Raw genomic sequence first — 18,589 nt, 5'->3', positions numbered from 1 at the left:
TGGCATTATATGCATTTGAACACTGATAATATAAAATCATAGTAACATTTTTATGTCTATAGTTATACTGCACAGCAGCCAAAATACACCATGTTATTCAAGAGTGTACTCATTATATGCCATACATCTTCTGTACCAATTATCAACCAAATTTCCCTTTAGTAACTCCTTTGGATAATTGGTAGTTCAAATAAGCCTGTTCTGATGATGATAGTGATGCTGATGACTGCCATTTAGTTAGAGAAACCTAATATTCAGTATATATATATACATATATATACATATATATACATATATATACATATATACACATATATATATACATATATATACATATATATACATATATATACATATATATATACGTATATATGTATATACATGTATATATACGTATATATATATGTGTGTGTATATATATATATATATATATATATATATATTTTTTTTTTTTTTTTGACGGAATCTCCCTGTGTCGCCCAGGCTGGAGTGCAGTGGCACCATCTCGGCTCACTGCAAGCTCTGCCTCCCAGCTTCACGCCATTCTCCTGCCTCAGCCTCCCGAGTAGTTGGGACTACAGGCGCCCGCCACCACGCCCCGCTAATTTTTTGTATTTTTAGTAGAGACGGGGTTTCACCGTGTTAGCCAGGATGGTCTGATCTCCTGACCTCGTGATCCGCCTGCCTCGGCCTCCCAAAGTGCTGGAATTACAGGCGTGAGCCACCATGGCCGGCCTATTCAGTATACTTTTGTGTTTTAATCTGTACACAGTAACTAGAGCTATTTTAATTTTCAAGGTAGAATAACTTAGTACTGTATAACAGTAATGTGCTTTGTCCTCAGTTTTTTCACTGAAGATTGTTGTCTGATAAGAAATTTTTATTTTATAAAAAAATAAATCGAAATGCCTTCGGTAGCACTCCATTGCTGCAATTTGTCGTCAGGCACTGTGAGACACGCGTGTTACAAATAAATATTTTAAATATTTAGTTACATAATAAGTGATGCTGTGGAGATGGCCATCCATTGGAGTTATGCTTTTATGGCGTGAAAGTTGCTGTGGTCCCTTACAACTTCTGCAAGTGATCTCTCTAGATTGCAATCACACATGTATGCTTTACTCTTTTCTATACTCATCACTGGGGGCTCCCTTGTATAGGGAGATATTCACCTTGAAAGAAAATCCCACTAAGAAACATTACTATTCTGGAGCGTTTTAGCATTGCTGAGATAAAAACATTCATGGTGTAGAGATATTTTCTGGCAGCGTGTTTCATGGGAGTTACACAGAGACAATGGTTGGATTCATATTAATTAATTTGAATGTCATATTTAGGAATCAGTCATTGCCCACAGATAATCCTAATTTGCTCTTATTGAGAGTATGAGAAAACTCAGCAAAAGAAAATATTAGGTACAAGCTATTTTGTTAGGTAAAGCTGAAATATTTGTGCTTCATACCCCAGCCTGTCAATATATATCAGTAGCAAGCTAATAAGAATTTACCAACAGTTTTCTTCTGTAAAACTTATCAATTCCCTAAACCTCATCTGCCAGTAGTTTGACATTTTAAATTATTTTTAGAAGGGCAAATTAGAAATCAAGGACATACTTACCAAGCTAATATCAGTGTAGTTTACAAAAATGTAAAGCAGGTTTTGAGGGGAAGTACTACGATTACAGTACTTCCCCTCAAAACCTATTTTACATACCCCGGAGATGTTAAAGAAAATAGAGACACTTGGTTCTCAAAGTTCACTGTGAAACATTTTCCATTAAACTTTACTTTTATTCCCTAAATTACGCCAGTGTAAATGCACTGGGAGTTTATTCATAAGAGGAAATAGTACTGTTAATTCTAACAATCAGCAATAACTGTTAGAACTGATTGACAGACTTGTGCCCAGAGGTTTCATGCTAAGAGTTCACAGAAGGATATCAATACAGATGGCCCTGGGCTGATATTCTAGCTGTGTTGAAAAACTGGCTGCTCAGTGACAGAACATCAGACGTAATCCTAGCAGCATTTTCTTTTACTATTTGAGTATAATAGGAACACTGAAAACCTGGAATTTAGAACAGTGCTTTATCCTATCTATTTATTTTACTATGGAAGTCTGAGAGCTAGTCTCAAAACAATAACAAAATACACACAAAGCCTTCCATATGACAACTGGCTCTAATATATATATATCATAGCCTAATTCAGAAATCCTTTTTAAAAAAAAACCCAACACCCTCAAAATGTAAAGTAGAAATCACTAGAAACATTTTATAGAGACTCTCCTCACCTCAATGCTTTCCTTTTTTTTTTTTTTTTTAATTGAGAAGGAGTCTTGCTCTGTCGCCCAGGCTGGAGTGTAGTGGCGCAATCTCGGCTCACTGCAACTTCCGCCTCCCGGGTTCAAGTGCTACTCTTGCCTCAGCCTCCCAAGTAGCTGGGACTACCGGATAATTTTTTGTATTTTTAGTAGAGATGGGGTTTCACCGTGTTAGCCAAGATGGTCTCGATCTCCTGACCTCATGATTCGCCCGCCTTGCCCTCCCAAAGTGTTGGGATTACAGGCATGAGCCACCATGCCCGGCCAATGCTTTCCTTTTAAAAATTAGAGAGTGAAGGAACATTTCTGCCTTTTGTTTCTCCCAAACTCATCCATTGCTTCCTAATTGTGGATGCCTTTGAGAACTCTGATTTTAGCAAAATACAGGAGGTAAGTGAATAACTTTGTATGAGTTCTAGAAAATTATTTGTTTTGAGCAGAAGGAGACACAATTGGAGGTTACTGTGCATCTATAGTAGTCAATATCAACTTCAAGTGAAATGTAAGTCAAGGTGGTGGAAACATTAAACCATTGCTTCACACATAATACAACAAACACTAAAAGAATGAGTACTATGTACCAGACTCTGTGCTAAGTGCTCAATAAAAGCATTAGTTCATTCATTCATCATTTTATATTGGGGGTGCTGGGTGCTACGGTAGATATTAGGAGAGTTACAGAGTAATAAAGACAATCTCTAGTCCAGTGGGGAGACAAATACAATTGAAAATAATTCTAGTATAATGTCACTGGCCAATAATAAAGTAAAAGCTACCATTTAGTAGTTGCCTCCTTTGTACTAGACATTGTTCAAATTATTTAAGTACTTCAACTCCTTTAAGCCTATATAAATCCTGTAGGTAGTATTCTCTACATTTCAGACAAGGAAATTAAGGCTCAGGGTGAGTAAATTTGTTTTTTTAATGTCAGAGACAGAATTGAGATTTAAACCTAAGTTTCCCTGTTTCAAAAGCCTGTGTTCTTTGACAGGGAAAAGTGTATAGGTTACAAAGCAGATTAAAAATAAATGGACCTTTCTTTCACAGAAGGAAAGTGATTGTACTCGGTCTCAAAGGAGTACACAAGATGGGAAGGAGATACTGGCAGAGCTGGCTTTGGCATTTAAAACTGGCTTCACACAAAAATAAAATTGAATGGCTAAATTTGTGGTAAAAATTTATATTTTTCATAGAATGACATTAAATTGCAATTTAAAAAATGTTATTTTAGCAAGAAAAAGAGAACATGGCAGAAAGGGAAAACCTTTATATATAACTTTAATGGCACTTATTTCTTGCTTTTTAAACAAGGGATCCCACATTTTCCTTTTGCACTTATCCCCAGGAATTATGTAGCTGGTCCTGGGTCCTGATCATTTTAGGCAAAGAGAGCGTGAGTTCTAAGGACATGGAAGCATTAAATCTATGCATTGCGTAGGTTGTGGGCGTATGTTTAGCATATGAGGGGATGTAGCAGGAATTGAGATTTAAAAAGTAAGACCGCCTTGTATGCCATCCCCAATCAGGGAGGAGGCATTAATGGATTAAGACTAATAATAACATGACCCTAATAAAATCCTAGGAAGAGCCCTTTAGTAGTTTGGTTATGATAGAATGCAGTGGAAAAGACTACTACCTAAAAGATGAGTTGGACTGAAATTCTTCAGGTAGGAGATAATAGAGGTTTAAACTAAGATAATGGCAATTTGGAAGGGAAATGATTTTGAAATATATTTCCGAGGTAGATGTGATAGGATTCAATGACTGTTTGTATGTTGGTAATAAATCAAAAGAAAAATTCAGAATGTCCCTGAGGTTTCTAGCTTGAGCGATTCAATGATGGTTATGGATTAACTAAGAAAAGGATTATTCCAAAAGGGGCATGTTTGAAAGAGAAGATAAAAATGTTGTTTTTAATATATTTCATGCCCTTCATTATTACATCTGAATGAATATATCCAGCAGACACTTGGAAATATATGGACAGAAATGTTTGTGTACCAGTAAGACAATATTTTGCTACTTTGGTAGCAATTTTGAATTGTCTGACTTTCTGATTTGTGGTCATATATATTCAGAACCAGCTTCTAAGTTCAGAAATAAGTAAATCAGCCTGGGAGACTGAAAGATTGTTCACAAAGTCTCTGGTCTAAAAACATAGTATGTATGCCTGTTGGCTCTGACATAAAGACATAAATTTTACACCTATTAAAATTTAATGAGCTTGAGTATCTATCCCTGAGACCTGTGTCACTCATGCCATACTTCATGAAGAGCTCTTACAAGAATCAAGGTTGTACAATAGAGGAATATATGAAAATAAAGGAAAGTATATTCCCTTAGAAACATGTTAAATAACTGATATTGAATGAAATGATTTGTGTAAAGACAATTTATCAAATGCAAATTGCTACGAATATGTGCTATGGTTTTAGTAGTCACTCTAGGTAAAACTAGTCATCCATAAATACCAAGAGAATAAGACATTTTCTACCTTCACATAGTTGCAGATATTGTAAGAACTAAGAAGGAGTGGTTTATCCTGGGAGAAATATATGGGCAGCTAAAGCACTGGAAGCTTTTAGGGGCTTTAAAACCCATCAAGCCCAATGGGCTATAGAGTGAGAACTTAGCACATGGGGCCACCTTTATGTTTTTAATTTTATTTTACTTTAAATGGAAAATAGTAATTGTACATTTTATAGGAAAATGTGATCTTTTCATATATGTATACATAGTGGAATAAATAAATCCAGCTAGTTAACATATCCATCACCTCACTTACTTAATTTTTGCAGTGAGGACATTTGAAATCTACCATTTTAGCAATTTTGAGATAAACAATACATTATTAACTATGGTTACAATGCTATGAAATTGAACACTAAAACTTATTCCTAATGTGTAACTGAAATTTTATACTCTTTGACCAACATTTCCCCTTCCCCATTCACACTCCCAACCCCCAGCATCTGGTAACCACCGTTCTACTCTCTACTTCTGTGTTTTCAAACTATTGGATACAGAGGAGAGAAAATTTAGGGGGAAAAAGAAATAAGAGGAGACTTTAGGTTTATTTCTTTCTGGAGCACCAAGATATTAAAGATGAAAGAACTTTAAGAGAATAAAGGTGGCATTTTTCTGGAAGTAAATTGTATATTTGCTTGAAGGTGGCCTAACCTCTATTCCTCTAGTGAACTGCGTTTGTCCTTCAAGTTGCAAGTGAGATGTCTTTTCTCCAGGAAGCATAGAACCGTGTGTGCTTTAAACCCCCAACTATCTGTCAAAGCTAACAATTTGTCCATGGGAAAAAAAAATCTGCCTCATTCTGAGTTCTGTATTAAACCCTAAAGAAATAGCAACCAGTGCATTCTCAGTAGCAGGATATAAAATTATTCTTCCTCATTTCAGTATGCTGGGTGATAGGAGCAAGGACTTTAATGGGACTGTAAATATCGTAGGGGCTCTGACTTTGGGGTTAGCTTGGTCAGGGAAGTACAGGTGGTAAGAAGTAGGATAAGATTTCAGTTGGACTTTGTCTTCTTAAGGTGGCAAAAACCCTACGTCTAAAAGTAGTAAAAGGAGTGAAACTTTGGAGGGTAGAAATGGAGGTGAGGCCTAGCTGATGCCATGGTTCATATATAAAAGATGTTCAGTTGTAATGACACTTAGAATTCAGGGATGTTCTATATTAGTAAAGTTGAAAAAATTAGATTGATTGAGACTTCGGATGAAATGTTTTATTTCAAATAAAACTCCATTTCTGGCTTATGATTTTATAGATATTTGTGGAAGCTTAAATCCAAATATTAAACCTTGCCAAGAACAGTTTCTTTATGTTGATTGACCCATGGAACACCTCGCATTCTCATAGTTAGCTAGAATTGTAAGCATCTGTGAAAATTGATAGCATGTGTACCATCCTTGATTATACTGAATACTCCTTTTAAATTAAAAATATGTAGAGAATAATATAAAAGTGTAATTTTATGACATATAATTGTCTCTCTTCCTGAAACTTCTCCAATCGCTTCATCCCACAATGCTCTCAGATTGATATGCCAAAAGAGTTGCTGTTATATGTTCATTACCACCTACTCAAGGTGTTCTATAATATAGCCCCATTTTAACTATCAAATCTTATCTCCCAGTAAAGCTGGACAAGAAGTCTGTGCTTTCTTAGAGTGGATTTCTTTCTGTTCCATGAATAGTACTTACCATTTTACTTTCTTACCCTGGGGCTTAGCTGCTACTGAACTCTTATCTTTTTCCTCTATCCCACAAATCCTTCTTGTTATTTAGGGCTGTAATCAAGTTTCACAAAACCTACCCATTATTCCTGCACATAACATGTGTTTCCTTCTTTATCTCTGTACCATACATATTGGCATTTAATTATCTAGCATTTGTAGTGATTTTTAATTGTTTATGATGTGAACACTGTTTTCTCAGTTCTATTAGAACTTTCTTGCTATATAAAGTATCCTTTTCTATGCCAGACACAAAATTATACCTAAATACTTAATTTAATGCTCCCGTTTGACTAATTAAGATAGATTTTGAGGTGTGTTTGAGGTGTGTTAATGTTGTTCTGGAACTTCTAAGATCTTTACATACTGCTAATGTCATAAATGGCATGAAGAACCCAAGAGGCATGCTCTACTAAATTTTTCGCACAAATATTACACAAAAGATTATGGGTTTCATGCATTTAAAAAAGCATCCAAAAGTGAAGAAATACTCTCCCCATGAGAGCATAATGAATTGTTGTGTAATGTACTAAAATGTTTATTAGTTGAGTTGAAATGCATTTGTGGTTATTGTAGCTCTCTTATTTGAATAAGTGAGAGAAGTTGTCCATGAGGCATAGATAATTCCAAAGATGTTAATAAATATGCCTGGTAATCAAGGAGCTTTAAAATTAGTACAATTGCCTTTCTGGAGCTTCTGCCTCCCATACTTCTAATGTATTAGAACATAAAACAGGGTTCCATGCTTGTGTTCTCAGTTGTACTATCATTCAGTTTAAACCTAGAAACTTTAGAGAAGGATTGCAGGGTAATTGACAGAGGTGTAAAAAATGAACTCTTACATGGCCAGTTGGGGTCAGGAGAGGGGACTTTTTGTTTAGACAACTAAAGAACTGAACTTCAGAATTGTTATTATAATCTGGGCATTTTATATTCAAAATGAGTACCATCCCTCCCAATGATTGCCTACTATCTTCATACCTCACATTTGCTTTACATCTCATAATTTAGCTACTCATATGCTTTAAGAGAGAGTTGAATCAGGTGAAACTGGACAAATGCCCAGGTTTGATTTCAGTAATTCATTGACAAAGGGAAGCAGGAGTGTTTTGTGCGTATATCCTCTGTGTGTATGCACACATGCATGCATACGAATGCAAAAGGGAATAAAACTATGCAGATTCCTTTTACTTTACCTGTAATATCTGACAATTTTCTATAATTTTAAATGAGGGAGTCATTTAGTTATGTTTGTGATTGGGGGTAGTTTTCCTCCAAGTTCAAGCTGAAGTGGTAAATTTTCGGTTCAATATCACTTTTGGTCTTTATAATGCTGACAGCTGTCTAACAAAAGAAGCAGCTCCTTGACATTATAATTCTTCAAATAGTAGTTGTTTGCCTTCTTTTGATATATTGGACATTTGATGGTCTTTAAAGACCCTCACACTCACTCCCTAATCTCATATTCTATTTTAAATTATTTTTAGAACTCCATCCACATCGACACCTATCCCTAAGTAAGAGGGCACAATGCTAGTGTTTGCTGGGCGAGAGAGGCCTTTATAACCAAATACATAGGGGTTCAGTTATATATAAATAGCATTATACATGATTGGCATACATTGGGAAGAACAGAAACAGCTGTATCTGGCAAAAAGATTAGGTGACTTGTAAGGTATGGGAAGACACTCAAACTAGGATTGTAATTATAGATGACAGTGTCTTGAGTATGTCTGGTGGTGGGAGCAGCTGTGATCCCTCACCCTTACTCCATGATTAGTGAATTTAAGGAAGTCAGAGACCATAGAATTTGCATGAGGCTGATCCAACTCCTACAGCCATATTTCCAGGATGAACATAAACTGTATTTTCTCCAAAGAGAGTGCAAAGGAAAATAATGTAATGTGGATCCTCCCAACCCTAGGAGAAAATTGTTTACTGAGAAAGAATTGATATGCAGTGAAACCACCATCCAGCAATGACAGAATTCTTATCCTTGACCCAGTTCCTTTTCTTAAGGCTAAGGTTCCTATGTTGTTGGAGGAGGGAGGTGGTTGTGAAGAGGAGGATGTGGAAGGGTTGTCAAGGGGTAGCATTGAAATGACAAGCAATCCTATCCCAGTAAACTTGAAGGTATATGGTGGGTCTCACTCCCAATATTTTTCTGTTTCAGTTTCTTCTGATGGGTCAATTAAGTGGGCTTTCAAATAACCAGAAGAGTCCTATAATTGCTTTCACTTCCTTAGAAGTCCTAACCATCCATGGGACCCAAAATCAAATGATGTCCATTGATGTTAAGCCAGTGCAAATAACTGCTACCAGGTGAGATAAACCCACAGGCAGCATTAGGCACCTGAATACCTGAGAGTAGGGCAGCTACTAGCACATGCTTTCCTTGATTGTTAGATTGACTTTTAAATAGTGCAAGCATGAATATCATATGTTTGCCTGTTGAGGACTTGCTTTGTGTATTATGGCAGGGGCTATAGTATGCTACCAGAGCAGGCCTACTTAGCAAACCAAAATCTTAGGGATCTTTGTCCTTTATAACACAGAAAGAGCTTGTAGTCCTGTCAGGACTCTCAAGATTTCCATAAACAAGGATGGTGTGGACATGATAGTGAGAAGAAACATCTGTGGATTTACCAACATGGTTCCAAAGTAGAAGACCTACAGTCATTGGGTGACCAGCTAGAACACTGTGAGATACAATACATTTCAAAAGATAGGCAAGGAGTGGGAGTGTCACTGCCGCTTCATAGGAAAACCTGAGAGGTTTTATAGTCAACCAGAATTTGAGTGAGCTCCAGTATTTTACCAGAAGTGAACCAAGAGAAAGTAAGAGCACAGATTAAATAAACTGTAGGGCAGGGCTATAACTGGCCTTGGTTTTTCACTACACTGTGATAGGCACTTGGACGTACAAAGAGACTTGATATTTTGGGGGGCCAGAGAAGATATACCCCTTCCATTTTTGTTTGCTTTTTAGTGTAGGTGACTCTAGAATAAACTTTTGATGATAACAAATACTCAGAAAATATTTTCTAGTTCTTGGTGCACCCATTTTTCCTGCTTCCCAGTGTAACCCTTCCTCCTGGAAGCAGGTTCACTAAGCACACATAACTAGGAAAAGGCAATCCAGTGTGAATCAATACAACAATTGAGGACAGGAATATCAGCCTGTTTAAACAGATGAACTGAAATAAGAACTGTGTTCCTATCTGCTTGAAAATAACAAAACTAGAGGAAGATTTGCAAACATCTGGCTAGTTCCCGTATTTTGATTTGCACTGACTCTACTATATGTTTCAATGACTGCAGTTGGCAGTTTGAAAAGAAATACTCAGTGACAATTGACAAAGTCAAAATGTTTTTATTTACGCTGAAGTTTAGCAAGTACATTTTTAACAAAGAAGGTGTACTTTAACGTTATGTATAGTAGAACAGGGAAACCATACATATAACTTTCTAGTCTCTAACACACTACTGCATTTTTTAAAAATTTAAAAGACAAAAAGCCAAGTTGAAATGAGCATAGAAAAGCATCAAATATGGTCAAGTTACTTTAGCCATTAGGTTTTAGTTCATATTTTTAAACTGGTCAGTCTAATGCAAGAACAAAGTTTACATCATTGCTTTTAAAATGTACACGCGTTTCTTTTTTAATGTAACATAGATTAAATAGCTCCTTCAGTAAACAAAGCTTTGCTGATAAACAAAACTGAAATAACTCCATGTTGAATAGTTTCAGAGATAAACTGGAATCACAAGCATCTTCATTTATGTAAAGCCAGCGAGGACCTTTCAGGCTGAATACAACTGTTGTGCCATTTCTAAACAGTAATAGTTACCTCCTTAAAAAAAAAGAAAACAAGTTAGTTCTTATGAAGAGTCATTCTGATACGTGCTTAAAAATACTAAAACTTCTATCTTCAGGAACCTAAAATGATCTGATGTAACAGGCTCAATTTAGTGTTGGTAAAATTTAACATTTCTTAACATTTCTATATTTTCATCTGTCAGTTTTCAAAGATCCTTCAAATTTCATGCTATAGCTTCTGTTCTTCTTTCCACAGCACCGGAGACATTGAAGACTGATAAAGGCTCTTCATGAACTATATTATAATGTCTGTAATAATCTATATTACTTTTTTTTTTGTATATAATGGTGCATCTGAAATACCATCCCTGTGGTTTACCAAAACAGGGGGAAAAGAGTATCTGGTTATGATCTAAGATAATGACAGCTTTGTACATTTAAAATTTCCTCTCCCGGGTTAACCCTGAGACTGTGTATACTGCATGAAGGGAGACTAGTTTGGAATATCGTTTCAGCTACAGTGTTTAGTCAAACCGGTATCCCTCTAAATGATAGTCATTAAAAGAGCCCATGCCATCCTAGAGTTAGATAATATTTAATTTGGGTGGGTAAAAGTTATTGTTGGAAATTTTTAAAAAAAAATTTATTCTACCTCTTTTTGTCAAACCTTGTTATTTTCCATAGCAATGGCTTATAACCTGAGTCTCTATTTAGATACATCACAAAGATTGGCTTTTGGTTACAAAAGAAGTAGGAAAAGAAATGTGGATGAATCCGTACAAATCCATTACCTGTGCTTGAGAAATACTTAAAGATAATGTTTCTGAGTCAAGTGCTTTATTTTCACATATAATGGAGAGGACATTATCATTGTTGGACTAATATGTCTAATCTAAAATATTAAGTCAATCTGGTCAAGCTTATTAGGAGGAAAGTATACCCTTTTTTAACCTTGTGTATAATATCTTTAAAATCTTTATTCTTTCTGTGTATAAGGTATCATGGTGAGTGGCAGAATTTTCTAGATAATACCTCAGAACCAAAAATAAAGATGTAGTAAGGTAATAGATGAATAAAAGATTTGGGGTTTGGGTTAGTCAGACTTATGGAGGGTTGGACTTCATCAGAGGGCAACCAGACATTTTCCCAAGAAGCCCATGGAATTCACTTAAACTTTTCCAGGGACCAGAAGAAAACAAAGCTTGAATTTTTGGACACTGGTAATTGTTCCAACTCCTTTGTGGAGTCTGAGAATATTTACTCTGATGAATTGACCAAATATTTGCTCAGTCCTCCAGTCTACCTCATCCTTTGTATACACAGCCTAAATGTCAAAGGAAAGCTCTTTGACATGAAATGACAGTCATTTTACCAGGATTGAAATTTATACAATATAGCTAAAGCTTAAATCATGCAACACAAACTGTGAACATTACAAACTGGAAAGCAATAGCACACACTATGTCCCCTTAAAAAGGGTACATGAACTCAGCAATGAATAGCGAAAGACAATCACCATTTGTCCTTTAGAAAAATGCAGTTTCTGAAAAATTTCTACTTTTGTTATGTTTATTTCTTGCCTTTATTTAGAGACAGAAATATTTGCCCACATCCTTTATGTGTCTGCTTACAAGGCCTATTAGGAATAGTTCCCATAGCTGCTCAAAAATTGAAAGAAAAACTAGGCTAGCAAGAAGAAAACAATATTAAGTGAATCAACTTTTCTACCAGAATACAATAAATTGAGATTTCACCGTAGTAAAACTTTTTCTCCCAATTTTGAGGACAGTAGCGAAACAGACCCCTGTGTAGCATGTTGTATAATGTTGACACATATTTGGTTACTGTTTTACATGTGCCAATGCTGAATGATCATAAGGAAGATGCCAGTAATGAACTGCTGACACTGATCCTTGGAGCAATCTCAAAGTTTGCCACATTTCAATTTCAAAATGCATTTCAGCTATAATATGAGTGATTTATCACTTAGTAGTAGCTGTCAAAGTAATCTCCTACATAAACCAAAAACATCTGGAACCATAAACAGAGAGGAGTAGTAGCTGAATTTTAATCCAGACCCAGTGTGCTCGCTTCATTAGGAACAGGAAACAGCTAATTAGTAATGGAATGTTTCATGTTCTTATAAGGGTTTGTTCTTGAGCTCTAAACAGAGATGATCTGATATGAACTCTGGATGTCAATAAGATTAAAGATCAGGAAGAGAAACTAACAAAGTCTCTCCAGGGGAATGTTACCGAGCTTGAGAACTTAAAAAGAGGGACACACACTGACATTTGGGGAGAGCTGACAGAGTTTATTGCTTTGGGATTTATCAGATAGGTAAAAAGGGGAATTTGATACATACAAATGTGACCATTTTTAAAGTAAAAACAAAAGTCCATGTAATCCTTCCTTTAGCACAGCACTGCCTGACATGGGCATATGCCATGACACAGAAGGTCAGTGTGGACACTCCACACAGGAGATGAACCTCTCCTAATCAGTTGAGTTATCTTTACTGGGCCACAAATAGCTGCTCCAAACTCAAGTAAATGTGAGACTTGCCCTGTGGTATATATCCTAAGCCTATGAGCCGGAATAGCTAAAATCATGTATCATAAACAAGGCAGATATATGGGAAAAGGCCAGAAAAAAATACACATGAGGAGTCCTCATAGTTCAAACAAGGTAAGTTAAACTTATCTACTTATTTAAACAAAAGACACTAGTTTATTTTGAAGTAACTTAATTTGGAAATTCCATTTAATGATGAGACTTTCTTGGATGTTATATTTTTAGTCACCTGTCACTGTTATTTATTTCAGATATTTGATATTAATAAAAGTTTTTATTTGACTTGCTTCAATCCTTCTCCATGACTTATTTCTAATTTGGCATTATTTCACTGAATTGGGCTAAAACAGTATACCTACTCTATATAAGCAGACCTTCTACAGCCCATGAAGAATACCAGAATCCAAATGCTTATGCTTTAGAAAACATTCCTTCAGAGCTTGGAATTACTGAAATGTCACATCGATATGAATTAATGTAATATTTTTAAGTGTTTAGAGTGGGTGGCCATTCCGGCAGAAATTGCATGTACTGCCATGGGGAACCTCTTACTAGAAAATGGATAAAAACTCAGTTGGCTTTTTGCAGGAGATGCTTGGTGCTTCTGTCACATCAGAACTTAATGCTAGGGCAGACGTGAAAACAACACAATGGATTATATATTGTTTAATATAAGGAGGGCACTTTAGGAGGAGCATTAAATCTTTTTGATCATTAGAGTACCATATAACACATTGGAATGCTGCTCTATTAGATTTTTAGTAGGCATCAAAATAATGATAACAGGTATCTGCCCCCAGCCAATGGTCAGATCTCCTCTAAGTAAACAGTTAAAAATATTTGAGGCCATTTCCTGGGCAATTCAAGCCAAATGTTCCTAATCATTTGAACATGTTAGGAATCTGGCTATGTCTAGACCAGAGAGTGAACAGTATAAAATATCCATAATCTCACTGACCCATCTTTCTCTTTTCTTATGCCTATAGATTTTTCATTCTGTTTGCTTGTTAATAGCTTAATAAAGAGGAAGCAAGATTGGGGATGGGAGGAGAGAAGAAAATAGTAAAGGGGTATTTTTAGCAGCTTGGGTATCTGTTTTTATCATTGCATTCTTTACAAATCAGGAATGTGCTAGTAGAAAGGGGTTAAAGGACTTGCTCCACCATCAACAGTTCAAAGGAAAAACTGGGTGTGGTAAAATCTAAAAACTAGAGCTCCTTATATTTTCTTAGAGAACACTACAGGCCAAGTGTTTCTTTTAGAAATGAGAGCTCCAAAGCAGTGATAACAAATATCGATCATTTGCACAAATGATTCACCACCTGATATAATTCCTGTTAAATACCAGGTCAGACAAGAAGTTATTTCACAGTAATTGCAGCTTAAAGTAGGTGTGCCTGCATTTTAATTTGTCTCACACCATTTAGAAATAGCATTTTCTCTGTCTTAAAAATTCTTCCACCTACTTACCCCACTAGGATTCTGTGTGAATTAATGTGATAATGTTTTTGAAGCACTATGAACTAACTCCTTGAAAGAAAGAGGTTAAAGAAGTGTAAAATGTGTTCAGTCATTATTATGACTATCCCCTAAAAACCTGTGAAACCCATTCTCTAGGACATTTTTCCTGTATGTGTAAGGTTCTATTTATCAGTAATGAACAAACAGTAATTAAAGGTTCCATATTTTAAGGATTTGAGTATGAATTCTAAATAATTTACAACACTAGATAAGCAGGTAACTGCTACAGCACCCTATTCGTGCCTATGATCAGTTGGAGTTCCGGCATCAGTGTTCAGGCTGCACAGAAAAAACAATAAGACCTGGTCAAAATTTCATTCGAACAAAGAAAATTCAAAATCTACTCAATGCACTTCACTGAAAACCACAAACTCACTTTATAGTATTTCGCTGTGCTATATATGTTCAAGATTTGAATATATCTCTCGCAATTAATGTATTATTTTATTAGGTTTATCCCTTAATCAAATATTCATTTATATGAGTCTCATTTTATTAAAAATGAAATTATACAAAAGTGAGCAAAAGCGTAGATTTACAGTAGTTTAAAGCTTAATCTTATTCTCTAGGGGTGATATTGACAATATAAATATGGCGTAAATGATATTCCCTAACTCTAAAATATGCTTATGAGCCCCTTGTGCATGTTCTTCTTCTTTACAACCTGCAGCAAAATGCGTAACTAGCTTAATAAGCAAGGCATTTAGGAATTGTTTTTTCCTCCACAGTCTAAAACATTAGTAAAGGCCTATCCTGTTTTTTGTGAGTCAAAATCTTTGCTAATGACCACAATGTTCCCTCAGTATGAGATTTCCTTCCCTGACAGGATGGTTATTCGAAAGTAATTGCTCACTTTTTATTTTTCAAAAAACTACCAAGAACTGTATCTATAATGTGTTTAGAGGTTTATATTTACAATAAAATGCATTTGTGATTTTTCCTACCCAAGGTTCATGTTTGCTTCCAAATGTCTCCTCACCAGTTGTTTACCTCTATAAACAATGGGACTGCAATGAGAACTAGTAGAATTCACACAGGTGTACTTTAGGCTATCAAACCTTTCTTTTGAGGTAGCTAAGCTATTCTTGAACTATTGGCAATATTTTCTAATCTATGTTTTCTTTATGTTGCTTAATTAGTGCTGTGCTTCTGATTTACAAATGGGCACTATATAATTTAGCAGCAAGTAAGATAATCTCTTGAAGGTCATGTTTTCCTAACCTGAATAAGAAAGAGATAAAATAATATGCTAGTTAATGCTCCACTTGTTTTCCACTTCAGTCTTAGATTCAATCCTAATTAAATGTAGAATTAATTGTAGAAACTCAACTTTAGTTGTGGAAATATGTTCAGAACATGATATTCTCAAATCAAAGAAGTGACAGTAGTGAGGTTAGTTTGGGATCCAGTCGGTTATTATTGCAGTAGTATAAATATGAGTTACTAATTCGAAAGTAGGAAAAGCAGACAATTGCAAGCAAGGGGAAGATATAATACACTGTTTGATTACTCTTTGTCTAGAGAAGAGTACTATTTTGGAATCATTTTTTTTTCAGAAAGTTCTAGTGTTTATTTTTAGAACATGACATATTTTTTTAAAAACAGAGGTTTCTTGAAAATAACCATTTGGGCTCATTAGCCTTAAAAATATCTGACTTACAATTTATTCAAAATGAAGATCAGGATAGGTCAATAGGTCATCTTTTTTGTGCAAATGGTGTCATAATGGAGTATCAAACTATCTTACTTGTAATGCACCCTGGTTTTGTGAAATAATTATTTAATACATCCCTTTCCCCTTTATTGAATCTCTAGTTCTTAGAAAACATACCCTAAAAAGGAAGCATGAATGCCCTTCTGCTCACACATGGGGATAAAATGTAGAGATGTCATTAACCATAACTATCTATGGGAGAGCACACTCTTTAGAGGAAGTTTTACACATCACTTATAGGCCAAATAGTTCCCTCCTACTGAAATCAACATTAGAAAACAAAATCAAATCTGAGTGTATTTTATAGGGCACAGTAATAATGATATCTTGTACTCGCCATACTTATCAGATAGTATGTATCTAACTTATTGATGAGGAAGAATAGGCAAGTATTATGATACCTATTTTACTAAAGTTAAGGCAGAGAGAAGGTAAATGACTTCTCAAGGTTAGTAACTGAGTTAGCGAGTTAGTAACTGAGAAATTCTGACTAGTAGATCAGTGCTCTTTCTGCCACTTCATTGTGCCTCTCACATACTGGTTATAAAATGGCAATAGAAGTGCACATGTCCAGTACAGAGATCTGCAACTGTTGAGCCACATTAAGAGCTTTAGAAGTACTGAAATTCTATTTTTCATCTGAGAAGAGAGAGAAAGGGAGAGAAGAATAAATAAAAACTAACACGTATGGAACACTATGTCAGGAGCCACTCCACATGTACATATGGCATATATGGAATGCCATCCTCTTTCATTATTTTCTTGTTGTGGATAATGCTACAGTGAAAAGTGTGAATTATGTTTCTATGCCATTTCTCTAAATCTCTAAATAATCTGAGATCAAGTCCCCCACTTTCCATAAGCATATAAGTTACAAAATGTTTTTTCTTCTTCTTTTTTCCTTTTTTTTTTCTGAGACAGAGTCTTGCTCTGTTGCACAGGCTGGAGTGCAGTGTTGTGATCTCAGCTCACTGCAGCCTCCGCCTCCCAGGTTCAAACAATTCTCCTGCCTCAGCCTCCCAGGTAGCTGGGACTACAGGCGTGTGCCATCACACCTGGCTATTTTTTGTATTTTTAGTAGAGACTAAAAATTTCTCCATGTTAGCCAGGCTGGTCTCAAACTCCATACCTGAGGCAATCCACCTGCCTCGGTCTCCCAAAGTGCTGGGATTACAGATGTGAGCCACCGCACCTGGTCACAAAATGTTTCTTAAAAGTCTAATTGATTTGAGTTTTGTACAGGATGCAGATTGGAAATATTTTAGGTAACATTTTAAAGTATAGTTAAGTTCTATTTTTAAATAACTTTTAACTACTACTTTTGTCTGCTAAACTGATAGAAGAACACTATAATACTCGATTTTAAACAAATCAAAATATAGAGGAAAGTGAAAAATGAAAGTAATGGATAAACAAATATTAACTTGTACAATGTTAAAAATGATGACATCCAACATTTCCCATAGAAGGTTGAAATGCAGTTACCAGGAAATAGTAAGATTTGAGGGTTTATTAGTTCTCTCTATTGAGAGTTTTTCCTCACTCATTATTAAATGGTTGCTCACAGATGCTGAGATCAACATTGCATTTATTCATTTTTATTATTTTAATGAAAACAAGAGCACTTAGACATTTGTGAAATGTTGCAGGAAGTCAGGGATCCTGAATGGAGGGACTGGCTGGAGCCGTGGCAGAGGAACATAAATTGTGAAGATTTCATGGACATTTATCAGTTCCCAAATGATACTTTCATAATTTCTTACCCCTGTCTTACTTTAATCTCTTAATCCTGTTATCTTCATAAGCTGAGGATGTACATCACCTCAGGACCACTGTGATAATTGTGTTAACTGTACAAATTGATTGTAAAACATGTGTGTCTAAACAATATTAAATCAGTGCACCTTGAAAAAGAACAGAATAACAGCGATTTTCAGGGAACAAGGGAAGACAACCATAAGGTCTGACTACCTGTGGGGTTGGGCAAAATAGAGCCATATTTTTCTTCTTGCAGAGAGCCTGTAAACGGATGTGGAAGTAGGGAAGATATCGCTAAATTCTTTTGCTAGCAAGGAATATTAATAATGAATACCCTGGAGAAGAATGCATTCCTGGGGGGAGGTCTATAAACGGCTGTTCTGGGAGTGTCCGTCTTATGCGGTTGAGATAAGGACTCAAATACACCCTGGTCTCCTGTAGTACCCTCAGGCTTACTAGGGTGGGGAAAAACCCTGCCCTGGTAAATTTGAGGTCAGACTGGTTCTCTGCTCTCAAACTCTGTTTTCTGTTGTTTAAGATGTTTATCAAGACAATATGTGTACTGCTGAACATATACGCTTATCAGTAATTCTGCTTTTGCCCTTTGCCTTGTGATGTTTGTTGGGCCCT

At 35.7% G+C, this 18,589-nt stretch overlaps 1 protein-coding gene across 8 annotated transcripts in view; it reads right to left on the bottom strand.

Annotated features, from left to right (window-relative positions):
* The window catches only part of DACH2 (dachshund family transcription factor 2), a 684,152-nt gene continuing 675,492 nt past the window's right edge, over positions 9,930–18,589 (bottom strand). For 5 of the 8 annotated variants that reach the window (XM_011530846.3, NM_053281.3, XM_017029254.2 and 2 more), the window contains one exon: positions 9,930–10,426. In XM_011530846.3, the coding sequence (XP_011529148.1) occupies positions 10,377–10,426 (50 nt within the window). In that variant the 3' untranslated portion in view covers positions 9,930–10,376. Of the gene's footprint in view, positions 10,427–14,719; positions 14,767–18,589 lie in introns of those variants that run through there. The other 3 variants (XM_011530847.4, XM_011530848.4, NM_001139514.1) reach the window with 2 other exon arrangements.

This window comes from Homo sapiens, chromosome X (genome assembly GCF_000001405.40).
Source record: "Homo sapiens chromosome X, GRCh38.p14 Primary Assembly".
Classification (NCBI taxonomy): domain Eukaryota; kingdom Metazoa; phylum Chordata; class Mammalia; order Primates; family Hominidae; genus Homo; species Homo sapiens.
Note: the sequence above shows the minus strand (reverse complement) of the source record. Positions and strands in the feature narration are given on the sequence as shown.